This window comes from Homo sapiens, chromosome 5 (genome assembly GCF_000001405.40).
Source record: "Homo sapiens chromosome 5, GRCh38.p14 Primary Assembly".
NCBI lineage: Eukaryota > Metazoa > Chordata > Mammalia > Primates > Hominidae > Homo > Homo sapiens.
In genome coordinates, this window is record NC_000005.10 from 50,813,067 (window position 1) to 50,831,895 (window position 18,829).

The window sequence follows — 18,829 nt, forward strand, 5'->3', positions numbered from 1 at the left end:
ACAATGTGGGCTCTTTTTTGGTTCCATATGAACTTTAAAGTAGTTTTTTCCAATTCTGTGAAGAAAGTCATTGGTAGCTTCATGGGGATGGCATTGAATCTATAAATTACCTTGGGCAGTATGGCTATTTTCACGAAATTGATTCTTCCTATCCATGACCATGGAATATTCTTCCATTTGTTTGTATCCTCTTTTATTTCGTTGAGCAGTGGTTTGTAGTTCTCCTTGAAGAGGTCCTTCACATCCCTTGTAAGTTGGATTCCTAGGTATTTTATTCTCTTTGAAGCAATTGTGAATGGAGTTCACTCATGATTTGGCTCTCTGTTTGTCTGTTATTGGTGTATAAGAATGCTTGTGATTTTTGCACATTGATTTTGTATCCTGAGACTTTGCTGAAGTTGCTTATCAGCTTAAGGAGATTTTGGGCTGAGACGATGGGGTTTTCTAAATATACAACCATGTCATCTGCAAACAGGGACAATTTGACTTCCTCTTTTCCTAATTGGATACCCTTTATTTCTTTCTCCTGCCTGATTGCCCTGGCCAGAACTTCCAACACTATGTTAAATAGGAGTGGTGAGAGAGGGCATCCCTGTCTTGTGCCAGTTTTCAAAGGGAATGCTTCCAGTTTTTGCCCTTCAGTATGATACTTGCTGTGGGTTTGTCATAAATAGCTCTTATTATTTTGAGATACACAATTTGGTACTGAAAAAGCAATGTCTATTGTTATAGTCCCTGGAATGTGTGTGTATATGTACACGCACACAGACACGCACACACACACACAAATATACGTATTTAGATGTTCACAAAGTAAGCATAGTTCAAGGTTCAGATAAAAACTAGTCATAACTCATGTCAGTAAATGAGCCTTTGAGATTGATGGATTTTAATCATATAAAAGTGATGGTTATTCTAAAAGAGTATTGTTAAAAACAAAGTGCCCTTTGTGTCACTGTTTACTTCCTCAGTAGTTGATAAAAGAATAAATTCCCAAGGCCTTTTATGATATCTAAGGTTTATCTTCTCCTTGGATTCTTGTTTATGTACTGTTTCATTGTATTGAAGCACCAGAATAGCATTTGACACTATCGTAAATATGCAGTAAGTGGTTGCCACTCTTATATCATACCATGCTCTAAGCCCCAGAAAATGAACAAAAGAAGCAATATAATATCCATGGGGAAAATTTAGGGTAAAGCATATAAACATATAGATACACAAAAAAATTGGAGAAGATTAAAAGTAAACACTCAAGTTAAAGGAAAAGTTGTTGAAATTGAACAGTTTGCTCTATGTATATCTAAATATATATTGCAGAGTGTGTATAGCTTGAATCTGGATGAAGAACTTTCTCTACTTTCTCTCATGGTTCTGAAGTTTCTGAAAATGGAATCAAATGCACTTTTAAGTCTGACAAAGGAAATATATAGATTCATTTTTTTTCCCTAAAATTCTTTTTGGAGCAAAGTCAACCAGAAAGCTTTGTATTTGGACAGGCTTTCTATCTATAAAGCCATGCATATGGGCCAATTCTGAACATAAATGATGTTCAGAATGGGGCCATACATCCCCACTGGTTAAGCAGAAGACCAAGTTGGCCTCTGAAAGAAGTAAGCGTAGGAGCAGTGGCACTAACAAATGCCTTTTGTCTGCTGTGCAGAGGCACCGTGGATTGCATCGTGTTAGGCTTCATCAGCTACCTAATGCAATGTAACTTGGGAGATAAGATAAATCAGAGGAATGACACTGTATTAGATTTGAAAGATGAGAGCTCTTCCAAAGTAATTGCAGAGTGTATATTTCAGTGCTGTTGACTTCATGAGGTTATAGAAGTCAATAACCGTTTCGTTTGCAACAAAACGAGTCTTTCAAGAGCTGAGTAGCAAGTAAACAGAATCATGCTATTTTTTTTTTGTTTTTTTCCAACAAAATTTCCCAGGAAAAAGTGGAATTCTCCTTTATATGTTTGTTTTATACAGCTTTCATATTTAAGCTCATTATTGTTATATCACCAGCTTAGGTATTTACATTTTCTGTGCATCTCATGTGCAAATGTGTATGAAAGCACGAGAGATAAATTTTCCTATTTAAGGATATTTTTACTGCTAAATTGTTCTGAGTGTGTCTAAAACTAACTGAAAAGGATCTTTTTTATAATATTTTTTACTCTATATTAGTAAATGACTCTTTACTAATTGTTACCTAAATTTAAGAATTTATTTCGTATTAAAATGGTATGATTTCCTTTTTAAAAAACACTTAAACCTTGCATTTTCTATTTATTATGTGAAATGTTGTGAATTTAATTTTGATATTGAGAGTTGGAAAAAAGTTTTGTGATTGATTCCTTTTTCTTTTGTAGCCTACCGTATGTGAACGGGAGCTGTGTGTGTTTGCTTTTCAAACCCTGGGAGTAATGAATGAAGCTGCTGATGAAATAGCAACTGGAGCTCAGGTAGTAACACAGGATACTAATTATTTCTTATTTTGCTTTGAAAAATTTGTTCCAGTCCACTAGTTATCTTCATTCTGCTATTCTTTGGGGAAAATATTTGATAACTTCTAGTTAAGTGGCAAATTGGCATTTGATTTTTTTTATATGTAAACTAAATGTGATCTCTCCATCTAATGTGTGTTTCGTTATTTTGTGATTGCCAAGGAGAGAAATTAAACCAACTTTCCATTGCATGAAAAATAATTCTAATTTCTTCTTACACAGTGAAGTGGAGATATTGAAACCCTCGTGCATGCTTTATGTAAAATTTATTTGTAAAGATAACTGCCATAAAATGGAAGCCAATTTATTTTTAAAACTTAGGTGAAAAGATAATAGGCAGAGTATGTAATAAAAAGAGAACATTCAGTTTTACAGAGCAGTGTTTCAGAGATAGGAAGAAAAGCAATTCCATCAAAATTTCCAGATTTTTTTTTTCCCTCTTAACCTGACTAAACTACTAATTCATCTATAAGAAAAAAAATAAAAGAAAACTCTAAAAAATTAATGAACATTAATTAAGAGAGACTAGACCAACCACATACAGAAACATATATGCAGTGCTATAACGTTTTAACAAAATATAGTATTGGCAAAGAATAGTATGGCAGATCAATGGCAGATTATCCCCCAAATGGATCAAATTATGAATAAATTTAATGTATGTTAAAGTAGGTTTCAGCTCCTCACTTACTGAAGCATTATTTAGTAAGGGAAGTAGAAACAAATGGCCTGTAACGGGGAAAAATTGGTTTAGCGCTTTACCTTACACTGTGTGCAAAAACAGATTTCAGATAGCTTAACGAATACCTAGTTTTAAAAAATTATTTGCTAATACAAACTATAGGACAGTAAAATTTAACATGCACAACTTGAGGCAGTGCATCAGGCTTATGAAGGCACAACAGTTTAATAATACAGATGGTAGCCTAGAGCTTAGGAATGTACACACTCCTTGGCCTAGTCATTTTAATTAACTAAAACTATTTTGCATCCACCTGATGAAATATTTAGGGCAGTATTTTTCATATAATTGAAGTATAAATGAAACAAATAATACAAAGAGTAGAATGTTGGTCTTATATGATATGAAAAAAATGATTCCATGATTAAAATAAATTTCCAAACTATAGCTTCGTATTTCCCCCACACCCAACATGCACACATTTGCATATTAACGGTTCTGAGCATCCCTATAACTAAGAAAATAGCTAGCCTATACTTAGAGGGTTACTAAAATATATCTGACTATGGAGAGCCTTTTTCTTTTCCATCCTTCTTTTTTAAATGTGAAAGTTTTTCTTGTCCCTTGGAAATAATATTGCTAAAAGGAAAAAAAAGGTACTTTAATATGTATGGTATTTATAGCTATGTAAAAATAATTAAAACCTTACAAGGGATATGTTGTATGAGTATGCTCACATGTATATTTATATAGATTTGTGTATGTGCATATATGTTAAAAATTCTTCAAGTAGTATACTTAAAATTCACACATTTTACCGTATGCAAGCTTCCCTTTAAAAAAGAAATTAAAGGCTAGTAATAGTAAATTATAAATTAGAAGGAAAAGTAGTATGCTAACAGTATGGTATGTTGATAGAATAATAGTTGGCCTTTTAAAATCATTGTTACATCATAAAATTAATGGTTTTGAATAGAAATGAAATTCAAATTATATAATGATTGATACAAAGCACAAGTATTTGATCAGCTCAATTTAGTGATGTAATTCTAAAAATCAATATCAAAAGATCAGAAAGTTTAGTAATTCTACTCCAAAGACAGCATTTTTTTCATACTTTATTTCTTAAAACAGGTTCCCCAGTATTCTGTCATAATCCTAACGATTACAGGGAAATCACTTCTTTTTCTAAACAAAAAGAAACCACCTCAGGATCTCATTGCCTCAGTTTACCCGTGCATTTTAAGTGGTGCTCTGGGGGCTGCAAAGACATTCCTCAGGACCATTGCAGGGGACTTGCCTGGAGCAACAGTGTCCTGTGGTCTAAGCAGCTGCTATTCCAGCACCCCAAATACTACTTCAACAGAATAGTTCCATTTTATTTGTTTAGATATTGGGCTCTCATCTAAGATTTTTTTTAAATTACTATTGCAGTATTGGACAATGATTGGTTTATAATTCTGAATCTGCTTCCTTTTTTAGACTACATTGTATACCCTTAGGCTCTTCCTATAGGTGCCTTTCTTAGTCACATGGACTTCCAGTTATTAAAAGACTAATGACTAAAGACTAATGACCGAATTTTTCTCATTTGCCTGAAAGGGGTGTGTGTGGGGAGGGTTGCTCTGCCAGTTGAATTGTAGGTAATGTAATGTCCTTTGGAGGCACCTGATTCTGTAAATTCACAGACCTTTTTATCTTCACTTATCAAATGTCCTAATTTTTCTTGCTTAAACCTAATATTTCTTTGCATTTCCATCCTAAGTATCTTAGTCAACTGCCAAATTGCTTCTTCATTTGTATCATTCAGTCAAAGAAGGCAGATATATGTGTGTAACTTGTTGTCCATAGCATGCATCATATATACTAAGATTCTATTTAGAATCTTTAATTTTAAATCGTTGGGAGTGGGGAAATATATCATTTAGCCCCCCCCCCCCCAAAAAAAAGAAGTCATAGTTGTGTGCTCTTTTTTATTTTTTCTTTCTTTTCTTCCCCCTCGAGAGAGCCTCTTTCTGTCACCCAGGCCAGAGTGCATTGGTGCAATCTCAGTCATTGTAACCTCTGCCTCATGGGTTCAAGCGATTCTCCTGCCTCAGCCTCTCTAGTAGCTGGGATAACAGGTCCATGCCACTGCACCCAGCTAATTTTTGTATTTTTTTGTGGAGACAGGATTTGGCCATCTTGGCCACGCTGGTCTTGAACTCCTGATCTCAAGGGATCCTCCCGCCTCAGCCTCCTGAAGTGCTTGGATTACAGGCATGAGCCACCATGCCCAGCCTCTCTTACATTTTTATTTTTATTTGTTTTTTTGGAGACAAGGTCTCACTGTGTTGTCCGGGCTGGTCTTGAACTCCTGGGCTCAAGTGATCCTCCCACCCCCGCCTCCCAAAATGCTGGGATTACAGGCCTGAGCCACCACACCCAGCCTTTTATTTTTTAAAGTGGATGTTTTAGTCCATGAGATACTTAGAAAAATTAACATATGCAAAGGAATATAAATCCAAATTGTATTATAAATGTTTTTCTTCTTAAAAAGTCTAATGCTAGCTTCTGTAACAGATAAACCATAAAATCACGGGCAGCTTAACATGGTAGCATTTTGTCATTCACACACTCCAATTAGAATGTTTGATGGGCCACTTTCTGTGTGGTGACCGGGGGGACTGGACCCCTTCGATCATGTGGCCCTGCTGTCTTTACTATATGCCATGTAGTAGAGAAACTGAGGAAGACATACCTTTCTTTGCATCAGGTCAGCCCCTTTCCACTGATGATCTGGTGAAAGCCAGTGGTTAAGACCTTATTCAGACAAAAAGGTGGAAATGTGCTTTGCTGAGCAGCTGCTTCCAGGTATTAGCGCTGTGTCCTGGAAGTGAGCAAGGAGTTGGAAACTTTGGTGCATCCCATGTAATTGAGTCACAGTAGTTACACTTTTTTTTGAAGTTAGGCTAGGACATATATTAACAGAAATATTCTACCAATTAAATTTACTACCCATTATTACATTATAATTTACTTAAATATACTAGTAAAAATATTGGTCAAAAATGCATGGACTTTTATAAAACTTCAATTGCATAGTAGGACATAATTTTTAAAGGGTTTTAGTGAGAGCATATCCATCTGTGTCATTCCCCTCCTCCCTACAAGGTCTCAGAAAAGGCTATTTTATCTTCTTTTTTTTTTTTTTTTTTTTTTTTTTTTTTGAGACGGAGTTTTGCTCTTGTCACCCAGGCTGGAGTGCAGTGGCGCAATCTTGGCTCACTGCAACCTCCAGCTCCCGGGTTCAAGCAGTACTCCTGCCTCAGCCACCCGAGTAGCTGGCGCTGCAGGCACCTGCCACCATGTCCAGCTAATTTTTGTATTTTTAGTAGAGACGGGGTTTCACCACATTGGCCAGGCTGGTCTCGAACTCCTGACCTCAGGCAATCCTCCCTCCTTGGCCTCCCAAACAAAGTGCTAGGATTACAGGCGTGAGCCACTGCGCCCAACAAGGCTATTTTATCTTACTGATTCTTCTTTGTCAGTTCTTGTTTGGGTTTTCATTAGAGACCAGATAATGCTGAAAACAATCTGTATCAGGGTTAATGTGCATCTCTAGAGTAGAAGGAATGTGAGGGTGGGAGAGGAAGACAAAAAGGAGGGTTTTATTATGTCCTTATTATGTTTATTGCTTGGAATATAACTTCTTGCATATATCTATATATATGTATGCATGTATTTACATACACACACACAAATGAAATAGTGTGTCAGGAACATTAGATGTTTCCATTCTAATGTTTTCAGAGTGTGTCTTGTGGATATGCATGTCTATGTACTCGGGGCATGTTATGTCTGGTGTCTTGAGCGTTGCTGATTATTTTAGGTCACTGGAAATTCTGGATGCTATGATTGGGTGGGTGTGTTTTGTGAGTACCCACACAACATAGTCAGCTCTGCTGTCATTAGGTCACAATACTCCTCTCTTAGAAGCAGGACAATCAAAAATTGGCCCCCTCTTACTGTGCATTTTTTAAATGCCTGTCTAAAGACTTTCTAGAAATAGCTTTCCCTATAAAGATATATATGCTTCCTTATTAAGTCACTTGTGTTCACACTGTAGATATGTCTGTTCAGGTGAACTCTGACCATTTAGGCAGTATCAGTTTTCTTTATTCAGTGGCCAGAATATATTGTTTTGGGGACTGGCAAGGGGAGCCATGCTATCAAACTGCTATATAGTACTGCCTCTTAGTAGATTGTGCAGAAGAATCATAGGATAACAGGATAACACAGGAATAAAGCCATTGTCTTTAGCCAATCAAAGGTCATTAGTGGACTTGGATAGAGGAGAATAGGAAGAGGCAAGATGTTGTCAGGCAATTAGCTATTCCTGGAGCATGCCAAAGTCTTTTCCTGCACATGGGGCTTCCTTCCCCTGGAACAGCTTCTCGCCAGATGGTCGCATGTCTCCTTCCTGACCCCGTACAGGTCTCTGTTGAGATTCACCACCTTTCTTAGCCACTCTAAAACAATGTCCCTTTCTGCATTATTCTCTAGTGCCTACTTTATTTTTTTATAACATTTAACAGTATCAGAAATTCTATTGAAGCATCTATTTGTTTAACTGATATTTTATTGTGTATCTTCTCCCCTAGACTATCAGCTGCACCAGAGCAGGGACTTGTCTGTCTTGTGCCTTGTCTTACCATAGGGTCTAGAACAATACTGGCATATAATGTGTGCCTTTGAAAAAGAGATATTAAGTTGTGAGTAATGAGAAGCAGCACATGTTTGTTATTTTGAATTGATGGTAAAGTTTGGTCAAATGTGGTCTCAAGTCTTGCATTACACATTTGAGAGATTGGTAGCAGTCCTGATCTTCCTCATTAACTTATGCTACCTTGAGAGGGAGAAACAATGGCAAAGCACTGGATAAAACCTGAAGGGTAGTAACTATCTTATGTGTATATTTCAAGGTGGTAGATCTACTAGTATCCATGTGTAGGTCTGCGTTGGAATCTCCTAGAAAAGTTGTGATTTTCGAGCCATATCCTTCTGTGGTAGATCCTAATGATCCTCAGATGTTGGCCTTCAACCCCAGGGTAAGTTGTTATCATGGCACACCAATCACAAAGTTTTCTTTAACAATAACAACAATATTGAGATTGTAGTCTCATTAGGTTTCCTCTTTCTATCTAAATCTCTATCTCATCAAGCATATCCATGAGTATTTAATTTCATCATATATTTTTGGGGATTCCGACTTACATAACCTCATTTTGATTTTAAAGATCATGGGTAAAGGGACAAGTTTTCCTTTCTTTTCTGCATTTTCACTTCAACCCTCCTTTCCTCTTTCCCTTCTTCCTCCCCAGCTATCTGAAGGTTAGTGAAAGTTTAGTTCATACTGTTAATGGACTGGCCTTTCTTAAGGAAGCAGTTTTATAAATGTTCCTGAAGATAAGGCAGAATCCTTTTGAAATTACAAAACTTTCAAATTGCATAAGAGCTGAAGTTGCCTCAGTTTCTATTACTACTCAGCTTGAAATAATTTTATAGAAACAACTGTATACAATTTTCTTGGAAGAACTTTATTTCTTCATAAATGGCAACAGCGCACATATTTAGATCTTGCTTGAAAATGAATTGTCAGCTATGTGACTGTATGCTATCATTTGTATACTGTCAACCATACTCTTGTTAACAATATTCAACTCAAAATAAAATAAAAGCGGTTGTGAGATTTGAAGTGGGTTTTTGTATTTTAGGATTCTATGTTGACTTTATTCATTATGGCTTAGTGTTTTAGTGGTGAAAGCCTGAATCAGGAGCCCCATAACTTTTTTGTGTTTCTAGATTTTTTCCGCCATGGCTTATAGAAGGATTGGCATTGTTTTCTTTGTTTCTTTTCTCTGACTGAAGTCCTGGAGCCATCTTATTATAGTCTTCCCTTTTATGTACACCAAACAGTCATTTCTTTCAAATTGACCCCAGTGGAAAATTCACATATGGAAATAATATATTTCTCTAGTGATATACAGACTTGCAAGAGCTTATAAGCAAATGCTGTTTTTTAACATCACTTTTTCATTAAACAGAAAAAGAACTATGATCGAGTAATGAAAGCACTGGATAGCATAACTTCTATCAGAGAAATGACACAAGTAAGTATGTCATCTGGTCTTGTACAGTATATTTTTAAAATGTCTGAGAGTTCTAGCTATGTAGTGAAATGTAGACTTCTCTATAATACATATCATTTAAAAATTTGTGCGGTATTAAGATGTTTTAATTAAATCACATCAGTGTACTAGCATGTAACACTGTGACTTCAGGAAAGTAAGTGGATAATTATAAGATAATTATACTCCTAATACTCTGCCCTCAAACTCGGGCAAGAGCTTGGGTACATGTAGGTATGTCGGGATATTTTAAGGCAAAGGTTAAATCTGGTACCATTTTCCTAGACTGTCAATTTTAATTGATGGTAGCAATTTCAAAACATTATTTGAGTATTAAAAACAGAAATGTTCTTTAAAATGGAACTTTTCCATAAATATTTTATATAATGCAAAATCCCAAAACCACTTTGGAAGATGCCAGGCTCCCGGAGAGTATGGGTTTATGTTTTTGGTCATTAAGGGAGGCTTTGGTGGAAATAGTTTGATGAGCAAGGATCGGGGTTTGTTAGGAAAATCTAACACATCCCTGGGCTATAGTCCAGCATTTGGAAAAGCACACACTGTTGAATTATTGAGACCTTTCCACTGCCAAAGACTTGGAGAGAGGTTTAAAACTTATCATTGTAAGTAGAAATTAATAATCTGAGATTGACAACGCACATTATGTGTGCAGCTTGCATGTAGTGGTTTCAAGGATTGCACTGCCTTAGAGACCCTTGCAGGCTTATAATGAGTATTACCCTGGGTCCTTTATTTTCTCTGGGGAGGGAATAGGGGAACCCTCCTGTCCCAGGGCCCACTAAGCTGCTATGCAGCTTTCTCCCCGCCCCCCACCAACCCCCAGAGTTATCGCTACTGCTCTGTAGGAAGACAGTACTCAAAAAGTACATTTTTGCATTTCCATTTTGATTCTTGATTCTTTCGATCATCATTTATTCATGTAGTCAAATATTCGTTCATTCACTCAATAAATAGTGTGTGTCTGGCAAAGAGTAAACAAGAGATCCTTTAATTCACAAATGTTATTATTTGCTTAAAAAATCACCATCCCTTTGGGTTATTTTTCTATGCCAGTACCTTTCTGTATTATCTGAATTCTTTCTCAGACAAGCACTCCTTATTTGTATAGGGAAAGAAAACAATAAAATGTATTTCCACCTAGGAGAAAAAAAGAACATATTGGAATATCTTATACAAAATCATATAAACATTTTTAGTCATGAAAAAGACTTTGGTATAAGGTATACTATACCCTAGACCTTGATTATTTTTGGATTTAAAAATAGCTACAAACTCTGACTCTGGAATCAGCTCTCTGCCAAAAATTGCTTTCTTTATTCTGGGTCATGTGTAAGCTATTTTAATAGAAGGGAACGTAGACGACTGAGCGTCAGCCTAGGAAGTTAAGAAGCCAAAATTGTATAACTGGCTCATCAATGAATGTGACCTGTGACCTTGGGCAAGTTGCTTAATTGCTTGGCGCTTCGCTGTCAAGGTGGAAGTAGTAATGCTGCACCCTGTTTCGGTGTGTACTTCATAGGGAAGCTCTCAGGTTTTATTGTGTCAAATTCTTTAAAACTTTCTGAATAAATACAACATTATACTGTGCTGTTTTCTAGAATGTACTGTCCTATACGTAGCCCTAAATTGTCACGGAGAGATTGCTCTTTGTTCTGTGAAATGGTTGTTGGTTAAATCCCTTTAAATACTTTTTAGAGAAGGCTTCGTCTTAGGTAAATTGTGTCCAATTTTTTAATGTAAAGGTCTATACCTAAGTCTGGACTCTCAGATATGAGCATTAGTAGTGGCCCTCACAAGCTTTGCTTTCATATTGGTTATTGGTTAAAATGGTCATTGTGAAAGAGAAACTTTACAGGACACTTGTAAAGGTGGCAAGACAGATTTATTCAGAGCACTGCAGTGGGGGAGAGAGACTGCAGCATAAACTGAGCTCAACTTCAACTAAGACAAAGGTGATCCAGGTTTTTAAAGGCAGAGGAGAGGAAGCAAAAGGCGCTACAAGTAAGTGAAAAGGCAAGGAAAAGAAGATGGGACTAGAGGAGTTATGTAAAAATGGAAAGTTACAGAAGGGGATAAGTGGAGAATTACCAAAAATGGTTTGGCAAAGTGGGTTGGTACAATATACATTTTGTGGTTTGGGAGCATCACGTTTTCTTGAGCAGAAACTCAACAGGGGGCTGGAGAGTGGTCATCTTTAGGGACATAGGCTAGTGTAAATGGAAGCCAGGCTAAAATCGGGACAAGTCTTTTAACACAGTGTTTGGGCAAGTCATTTTGGTGGCATGAAAGTTCACAATTCCCATCATCTTGGGAGAAAAGACTAGGGCAATTGTTGTTGTTCCCATGTTAAGTCCATAAATTTTTAAGTCTTACTAGATTAGGCATATCGTTTGGTCTGATTTTCCTTTTGTGAAAACGGAAAAATGAATTTTTATGAAAAATCAAGAAGTATAATGACTTTTTTTCAGGCACCATATCTGGAAATCAAGAAGCAAATGGATAAACAGGACCCCCTTGCTCATCCCTTACTGCAATGGTATAAAATTCTAGTTTTCCTCTTAATGAAAACAGCATCCTTTTCTACTGCTTGATTTAAGGAAAAAAACCAAACAAACAAAAGTAAACCTGTCTTACAAGCCCTGCAATGCTATAGTTCTACAAGCTTATGAGACCTGGTGATTTTACAACCTTAGAGTCCTTAATGACTCTCACTTTAATTAAAACTTATACATCACAAGGGGAAGAGAATGCTGTCACATGCACTACCAGGGATAAATAGTGCATTTGACAGCAGTTTGCCTATAGTTTTAAAAGATGTGATTAACTAGCTTATGTGGCAAAAGCATTTTGGTTCATTTAATTTTCTAGTTCAGTGAGGACTAAGTGATCAAACTCAGTGTTTCAACCTTTATTATTGAAATCTTTCTAATCTAAAATAAATGTTTTATATTTTGCTCCCTTAACAAGGCAGTATAAATATGATTAACTCTTAACTCTCTGCTTGCTCAGTGCAGAAGATGCACAGTTTCAGAGTGAGCCTGGTGAGGGATGTAGTGTTACCCCAGCATGAATTCTAGAAGGAGGGCTAGACTGTGAAGAGGAGAGAAGTCACCTTGCTGTGATGCCCATTTCAAATAATTTGCCCTCTTCTACTTCTAATAATTTCCTCTCTTGTTTCTCATTTGCAAAATGAAGACACTAGTTTCTACTCAACATCCCTTATAAGGGTTTTATACACATGTCTCTTTGAATTAACTTTGAAAACTCCAACTCCGTGAGATTTACCATACAGTAATACAAATGTAAGGCTTATAAGAGATTGATATGAATGAGCACTTATACCATGCTACGACCAGGAAGTTTTAAAAAAATATGTAAAGGTGGGCAGATGCAAAAGAATCTGGCTTCCTCAAGATTCTGATTACTTAACTTTCACTTCATTAAAATTTTATAGTACACATTTAATTTAGTCTAACAAGATTATAACAAAAATTAGGTATAGAAGCCTTCCTTCTTTGTATCTGTTATGATCTGTTACTAAATTCTGAAACAATTAAGTAAAATAACACTAAATTTCCATTGTAACCTTTAAATTTTTCTCATTGTTATATTCAGATTGAAGGTAAAAATTGCATATATCTAGTTGCTTTCTTTTTTTCCTTGTAGTCAGATGGTTAACTTTTAATTCTTGTGATCATTTCCTTCAGCTTGTTAGTCACTCTTCTTTCAAGATGAAGAGAGTCTACCAAAACTTATTATTTTGTGTGCTTATAGAGCAGTTCCTTTCAGATACTTCAATTTAATTTTTTTCAACTGCAGAGTCTACGTATGTTGGATTTTGTATGTAAACCATTGTATATATATCAGCTCAAAGAGATCCTCAAATATTTAAAGAAAAAAAATCTTCATAAGAACTTATCCTTAATTTAAGCAATGTAAGAGAGGAATAAAAGAAGCAGATCCATGACTCACTGCTCTTATTTGTATTTGGATTATCATTATTTGAAAGTACATTCAGAAATGTTCAAATGTTCATTTTGCTGATACTTGAGGTTATGCTTATTAAAAACTATGTCTTAAGTTTTAGGGAACAACTTCCTAGTGTGTTTTCTCAGATTAAAATATTACCTTTTTTGTTACATAAGCTCTTTAAATTGTTTCAGGAAACAAACCTAAATTATGCGACTAAATGAAATTATTTCCAAGTTTAGTTTATGGCACAGCAAAAATAAGTTTTAATCGGTTGCCAACTAAGAAAAAGAACTTTAAATATATTTGGCATGTATTTGTGACTAATGGATCATTTTAATTTCAGGGTTATATCAAGTAATAGATCACATATTGTGAAACTGCCAGTTAACAGGGTAAGTTGTTTTTTTTTTTTTTACATATGCATACAGAAATGGGAGGAGTACTTATCAGTTGGGAGAACCTACCTTGTAATTTTTAGCCAGACTCTCCAAGAATTGAAGTAAACCCAGGTTAAATATAATTCTTTAGTTTGAAATAGCCATTGCTCACTAGCTCCAAACCTTTCCAAGATAACAAATTCAAATTCAGTCTGCTGTCCTGACTTTTTAAGTGAATAAAAACATCAATATGAAATCATTTAGTTATTCCACAAGCAATTGAAAAATATTATATGGAGATTAACCAGAAGGAAGTTAATGTGCTTTATAATCGTTGTCAGTTTCATGTTGGCACATTTCCACTTTTCTACAGCTGAGAAGCTATTGACCTCAGACAACTTATTTATCAGCCTAGTAAGCTTAAAAAATAATAATTTGTAAAAAGCTAATAGACTCTGGATTTCAGTTCTGATCATCACCTAAGATCTGTACCTAAAAATCTCATTTTTGCCATCTGTGAATCTCTAAATGTGAGATTCCTATGCATTATATTCCTGCATAACTATATTCCTAAGAGAAAGGGAAACACTTAGAAGATGTTTTCAAGCTATTAATCCAAAAGATTCTGCTTTCATTTCTTTCCATGACCAAGGAGGAGACTATATTTGAATGTAGGCAAAAATTCTCAATTTTATAAATATATGCAAATAAAGCATAATAATAATTTTTGCAGTTTTATAAACTTTTCTTTTCTGCTTAGCAAACTCCAGAATATTTCCCCAATTGAATAGCTAGTATATACTTAGGGACTCAATAATAAAAATGTTAAAAGAAATGTAATTAAGAAGGCAGATCTGCTTAAACATGATTGCATACTGTATTCCAAAGCTAAATATAAATGGCTTTGGATTGTCTGTTTCCTATTCCTTTCCCATTTGCCCAAAGAATTGTTCTTCATATTTGCAATTCCATGTGACTTATCACTTGCGTAGAGTTTTAAAAACATTATACAAATTAGCTTGCTAATGTGGTTAGTGGAAAATTACTATAGTTTGAAAGTGGGTAATTCTTAAACCAATAAAATTTGAAATTGTCATCAGCCTGAATATATGTTAAGTTTTACATGTTTTTGTTTGTCTTTATCTTAAATGGCAGCAATTGAAGTTTATGCATACTCCACATCAGTTCCTTCTTCTCAGCAGTCCACCAGCCAAAGAATCCAATTTTAGAGCTGCTAAAAAACTCTTTGGAAGCACCTTTGCATTTCAGTGAGTAAGGCTTAATGTTAATGGGGGTGTGCTCCCATTAACATTTTCCAGAAATGTATGGGGAAGATATCACTGTCTTTCAGTAAATGATCATTCAGTAGATGGTCATTCAACAGATGGTCATGTAGTCAACTACATAATACTTGATTTGGCAATCCAGAACCTTCAGAAGGCACCATGACTTATTATGTTTTGACCACTTTGAAGATAATTAATTTTCTGGTTTTGCTTTTTCCTTTCCGTCTGTTTTTTTAGTGGCTCACACATTGAAAACTGGCACTCCATCCTGAGGAATGGTCTGGTTGTTGCTTCTAATACACGATTGCAGGTAGATTTTCTGAATGCTTTCACAAGACTTCATTCTTCTTCAGAATTGAGATTCAGTAAGCAACCCTGTTGTTAGGTTTAACTTGCAAAAGAGGAAGCATGTGAGTAAGACATTATATGGAATTTCTAGTAGGCATACTAGAACTGAAGCAGAACTGATCTATACACAATGATGTAAACACAAAATGGATCACACAATGAAAAGAAAAAGAAAGGATGGGTGCAGTGGCTCACACCTGTAACCCCAGCACTTTGGGAAGCTGAGGCGGGCAGATCGCTTGAGGCCAGGAGTTTGAGACCAGCCTGGCCAACATGGCAAAACCCTGTCTCTATTAAAAATACAAATTATATATATATATATATATTTATCCAGGCGTGGTAGCACATGCCTACAATTGAAGCTAATTGGGAGAATAATTTGAACCCGGGAGGTGAAGGTGAAGGTGGCAGTGAGCTGAGATCACACCACTGTACCTCAGCCTGGGTGACAGCAAGACTGTCTCAACAACAAAAAAAGAAAAAAAAAGAAAAGAAAAGAGAGTTTAATTCCCTCTGAGAAAACAGTAAAACAAATCACACTTTTTACTTAAGTAGAAAAACATTATCATGCACAAAGTAAAATCATACAGGCATTCTGTTAATTCAATGTACATTTCTAGAGCACTGGGCCTCAATATGAATGCTTTTAGAGAATAAAATGTAGAAATAAGTGAAGATTGCATGCTAGAGAGCCATCTGATACCTGCTTTTCCGCCTCCAGGACAGTACTTGGTGTTAGCAGGATATCATGGCAGTCATCTTCATCTTTATTTATGCCTTTCATCCTGCACATTTCACTTCACTCTCCTGCAGCTGAATTTTTTTTCATCTGACAGCATAAGGACATAAGGAAATGAGATGCTTAACCCAGTCACTTGAGCTAGATCTCATATTATGATGACATTTTAGATGATTCAATTAAATGTTAAATGTGTTTAGTATTCAATTCATACTAATAGTGTGTGAGGGCCCAGAACACAGAGATAATAAGAAAGAAATTTAGTTGATCTGAGTATAGTTTCAGTTAATGAAACTTATGTAACCTGAAAAATGTAACAGGATAAGAACAGGATGACAGATAGTATTATTAATGAAAATCTGAGCAGGACGCTTTGTTTATACACTAACATATAAATCCTAATCAGAATGCGTTACTGTGTCTTTCGGACCAAGTTTAGTTTCTGAAATTTTAGATCCATTAAAATAAAGGCCTACTAGTGTACTTTATAATAAATGATTGTCTTTATTAATGGTAGGATGGAAAACATTTATCAAGAATATTTTTCCTCTAGATACCATTTTTCTAAGCACAAGGATATTAGTACTGTTTTCAAATTAGACCTTGGAATAGAAGCTCTGTCATTTTTTTGTAAGACTGAATGTTCTGACATGAAACTGATTGCTTTGTCAAATATTATCATTTAAACCATGAACAGACCTCTCTCTCTCTCCCACTCTTCCCATCTTAGCTCCATGGTGCAATGTATGGAAGTGGAATCTATCTTAGTCCAATGTCAAGCATATCATTTGGTTACTCAGGTAATTCCTGTATTTCATTTCTAAAGTCACATTTATTAGGTTTTAATTTTCTTATTGTTTATACTCTATTCACAGCTTTCTATTGTGCCTTATTAGATATATTTTTATTAAATTTGTTTGCTAAATGTCAAAAGCAAAAACAAAGCCCATTTTCAAGATGAATTTATAATACTCTCCCTAGTGTACAAGATGGAATATATGTTTCATCAATTTAAAAAAATATTTAATATTCCTTACATTTATTCCTTCCACAAATGAATATTGAGACTATAATATATGCAAAGCACTATGTAGGGCACTGAGAAGTACACATACATAATATCTTTAAGTGTAATTCTATATCATGCTAATTTCTTATCTTTGTAATATTATTCATAAAGAAGCTTTGAACATTGTGGAAACATTAGAGTAGAAAAACACCCTCAAAATCATCTTTCTTGTTAACAACTTTTTGTAAATTTGGTGAGATTGTGGGAAAAAATACTTTGGAAAAAATTGAAAACTTGTGCTGTGCAGGAGCCTGGTGAGTTCAAAATGTAGAAAGAATGATCACCAAATTGTTAGCATTACTTATCCTTGGTGGAATTGGTGATGTTTTCTTCTTTGCACTTAAAAAATTTTTGGAATATTTTACAATGATCAGCATGATTTATATAACAACTAACCTATTCTGGTTTAAATATAAAATAATTATGCTCATTGTATAAATTCAAGCTACACAGAATTTTTGAAGTAGCAGATGAAAATTTTCTCTCCTTTACTACAGCTTCAGTGTTCTGTGTATGTTCCTTCACACTTTTAAGTGGTTTTATATACATATAACTGCATATGTAATTAGTTTTGCTTGTGTGCTCATGCGTGTGTGTGTGTGTGTGTGTGTGTGTGTGATTATGTGATCACGTTACACGTTTTAGGAGATGTCATTCACATGGTGCCTGAATGGTGAGTCTTAATATCCTCATGTTATAGGAAAGGATATTTAGAGAGGTCTGATAACCAGGTGAACATTAAAGAGAACTACCTAATTTATTTACCAAAGTTCATGTTCTTCCAACCATAACAAGTTGTTTCTCAATGATAGGAAACTTGGAACGCTTAAAACCAGATTTATAATTAGAAATACTAAAAGAAATCAGCAACATTGATAAATGGTAAAATGCTGATGGAAAGAAAACTTTAAAAAATGAGAAGGTTGCATGTTAACAAAAAAAGAAAAATTAGAAATATATGAAAAATTAAAACATAATTATTCAAGTAACTATTGCTGTTCAACAAACACCTTAACCTTAGGGCAAAATAACAGCTTCATTACGCTCATAGATTCTTTGGGTCAGGAATCTAGGATGGGACCTGGCTAAGTGATTCTTTAGCCCCTCAAAGTATCCACTGAATGCCGCTCAGCTGATGGATGGGCTGCGCTGGCAGGCCTGAGACAGCCTGACTCATATTCAAGAGTTGGGGAATTGGACTCCATCTCTTGTTAGCAAAGAAATACTGTTTCAGTGATCTCTGAAAATACAATATGCCAAAATAACACAAAGAAAATAAATACCAGGAAGTGTAAGATACCGTAGAGATAGGAAATGGAGTTACAAAGAAGAAATCTATTAAAATCAGACTCTAAATCTTGCTAAAACAGTACAAAATAAAAAGCTAAGAAACCAGCTGAAATAAATAAATACATTCTCAGCATAAAGAAAAAACACAGCAAATCATCAAGTACTGTAATTTTCTGTTTTTTATACTGGTATATAGACTCCTTCAATGGGTACATGGAAAGAATTGTGGAAGGGTTTACAAACCATGTGAATGGATGTAAAAATTTGTGTTATATGTGCTTTTTTTCTGGAGAGGGAGCACTTACCTTTCCTCAAATTCTTGAAGGGCTCTTGATCTAAAACAAATGTAAGAATCACTACAGTAAGATGACGTAG

At 35.2% G+C, this 18,829-nt stretch overlaps 1 protein-coding gene across 14 annotated transcripts in view; it reads left to right on the forward strand.

Annotated features, from left to right (window-relative positions):
- PARP8 (poly(ADP-ribose) polymerase family member 8) overlaps positions 1–18,829 on the forward strand; it is a 180,589-nt gene that overhangs the window by 147,136 nt on the left and 14,624 nt on the right. For 10 of the 14 annotated variants that reach the window (NM_001178055.2, XM_011543631.4, XM_011543634.3 and 7 more), the window contains 8 exons: positions 2,366–2,458; positions 8,147–8,272; positions 9,269–9,334; positions 11,842–11,909; positions 13,689–13,737; positions 14,878–14,990; positions 15,246–15,318; positions 16,826–16,895. In NM_001178055.2, the coding sequence (NP_001171526.1) occupies positions 2,366–2,458; positions 8,147–8,272; positions 9,269–9,334; positions 11,842–11,909; positions 13,689–13,737; positions 14,878–14,990; positions 15,246–15,318; positions 16,826–16,895 (658 nt within the window). The remainder of the gene's footprint in view (positions 1–2,365; positions 2,459–8,146; positions 8,273–9,268; positions 9,335–11,841; positions 11,910–13,688; positions 13,738–14,877; positions 14,991–15,245; positions 15,319–16,825; positions 16,896–18,829) is intronic. The other 4 variants (XM_047417705.1, NM_001178056.2, XM_011543632.4 and 1 more) reach the window with 1 other exon arrangement.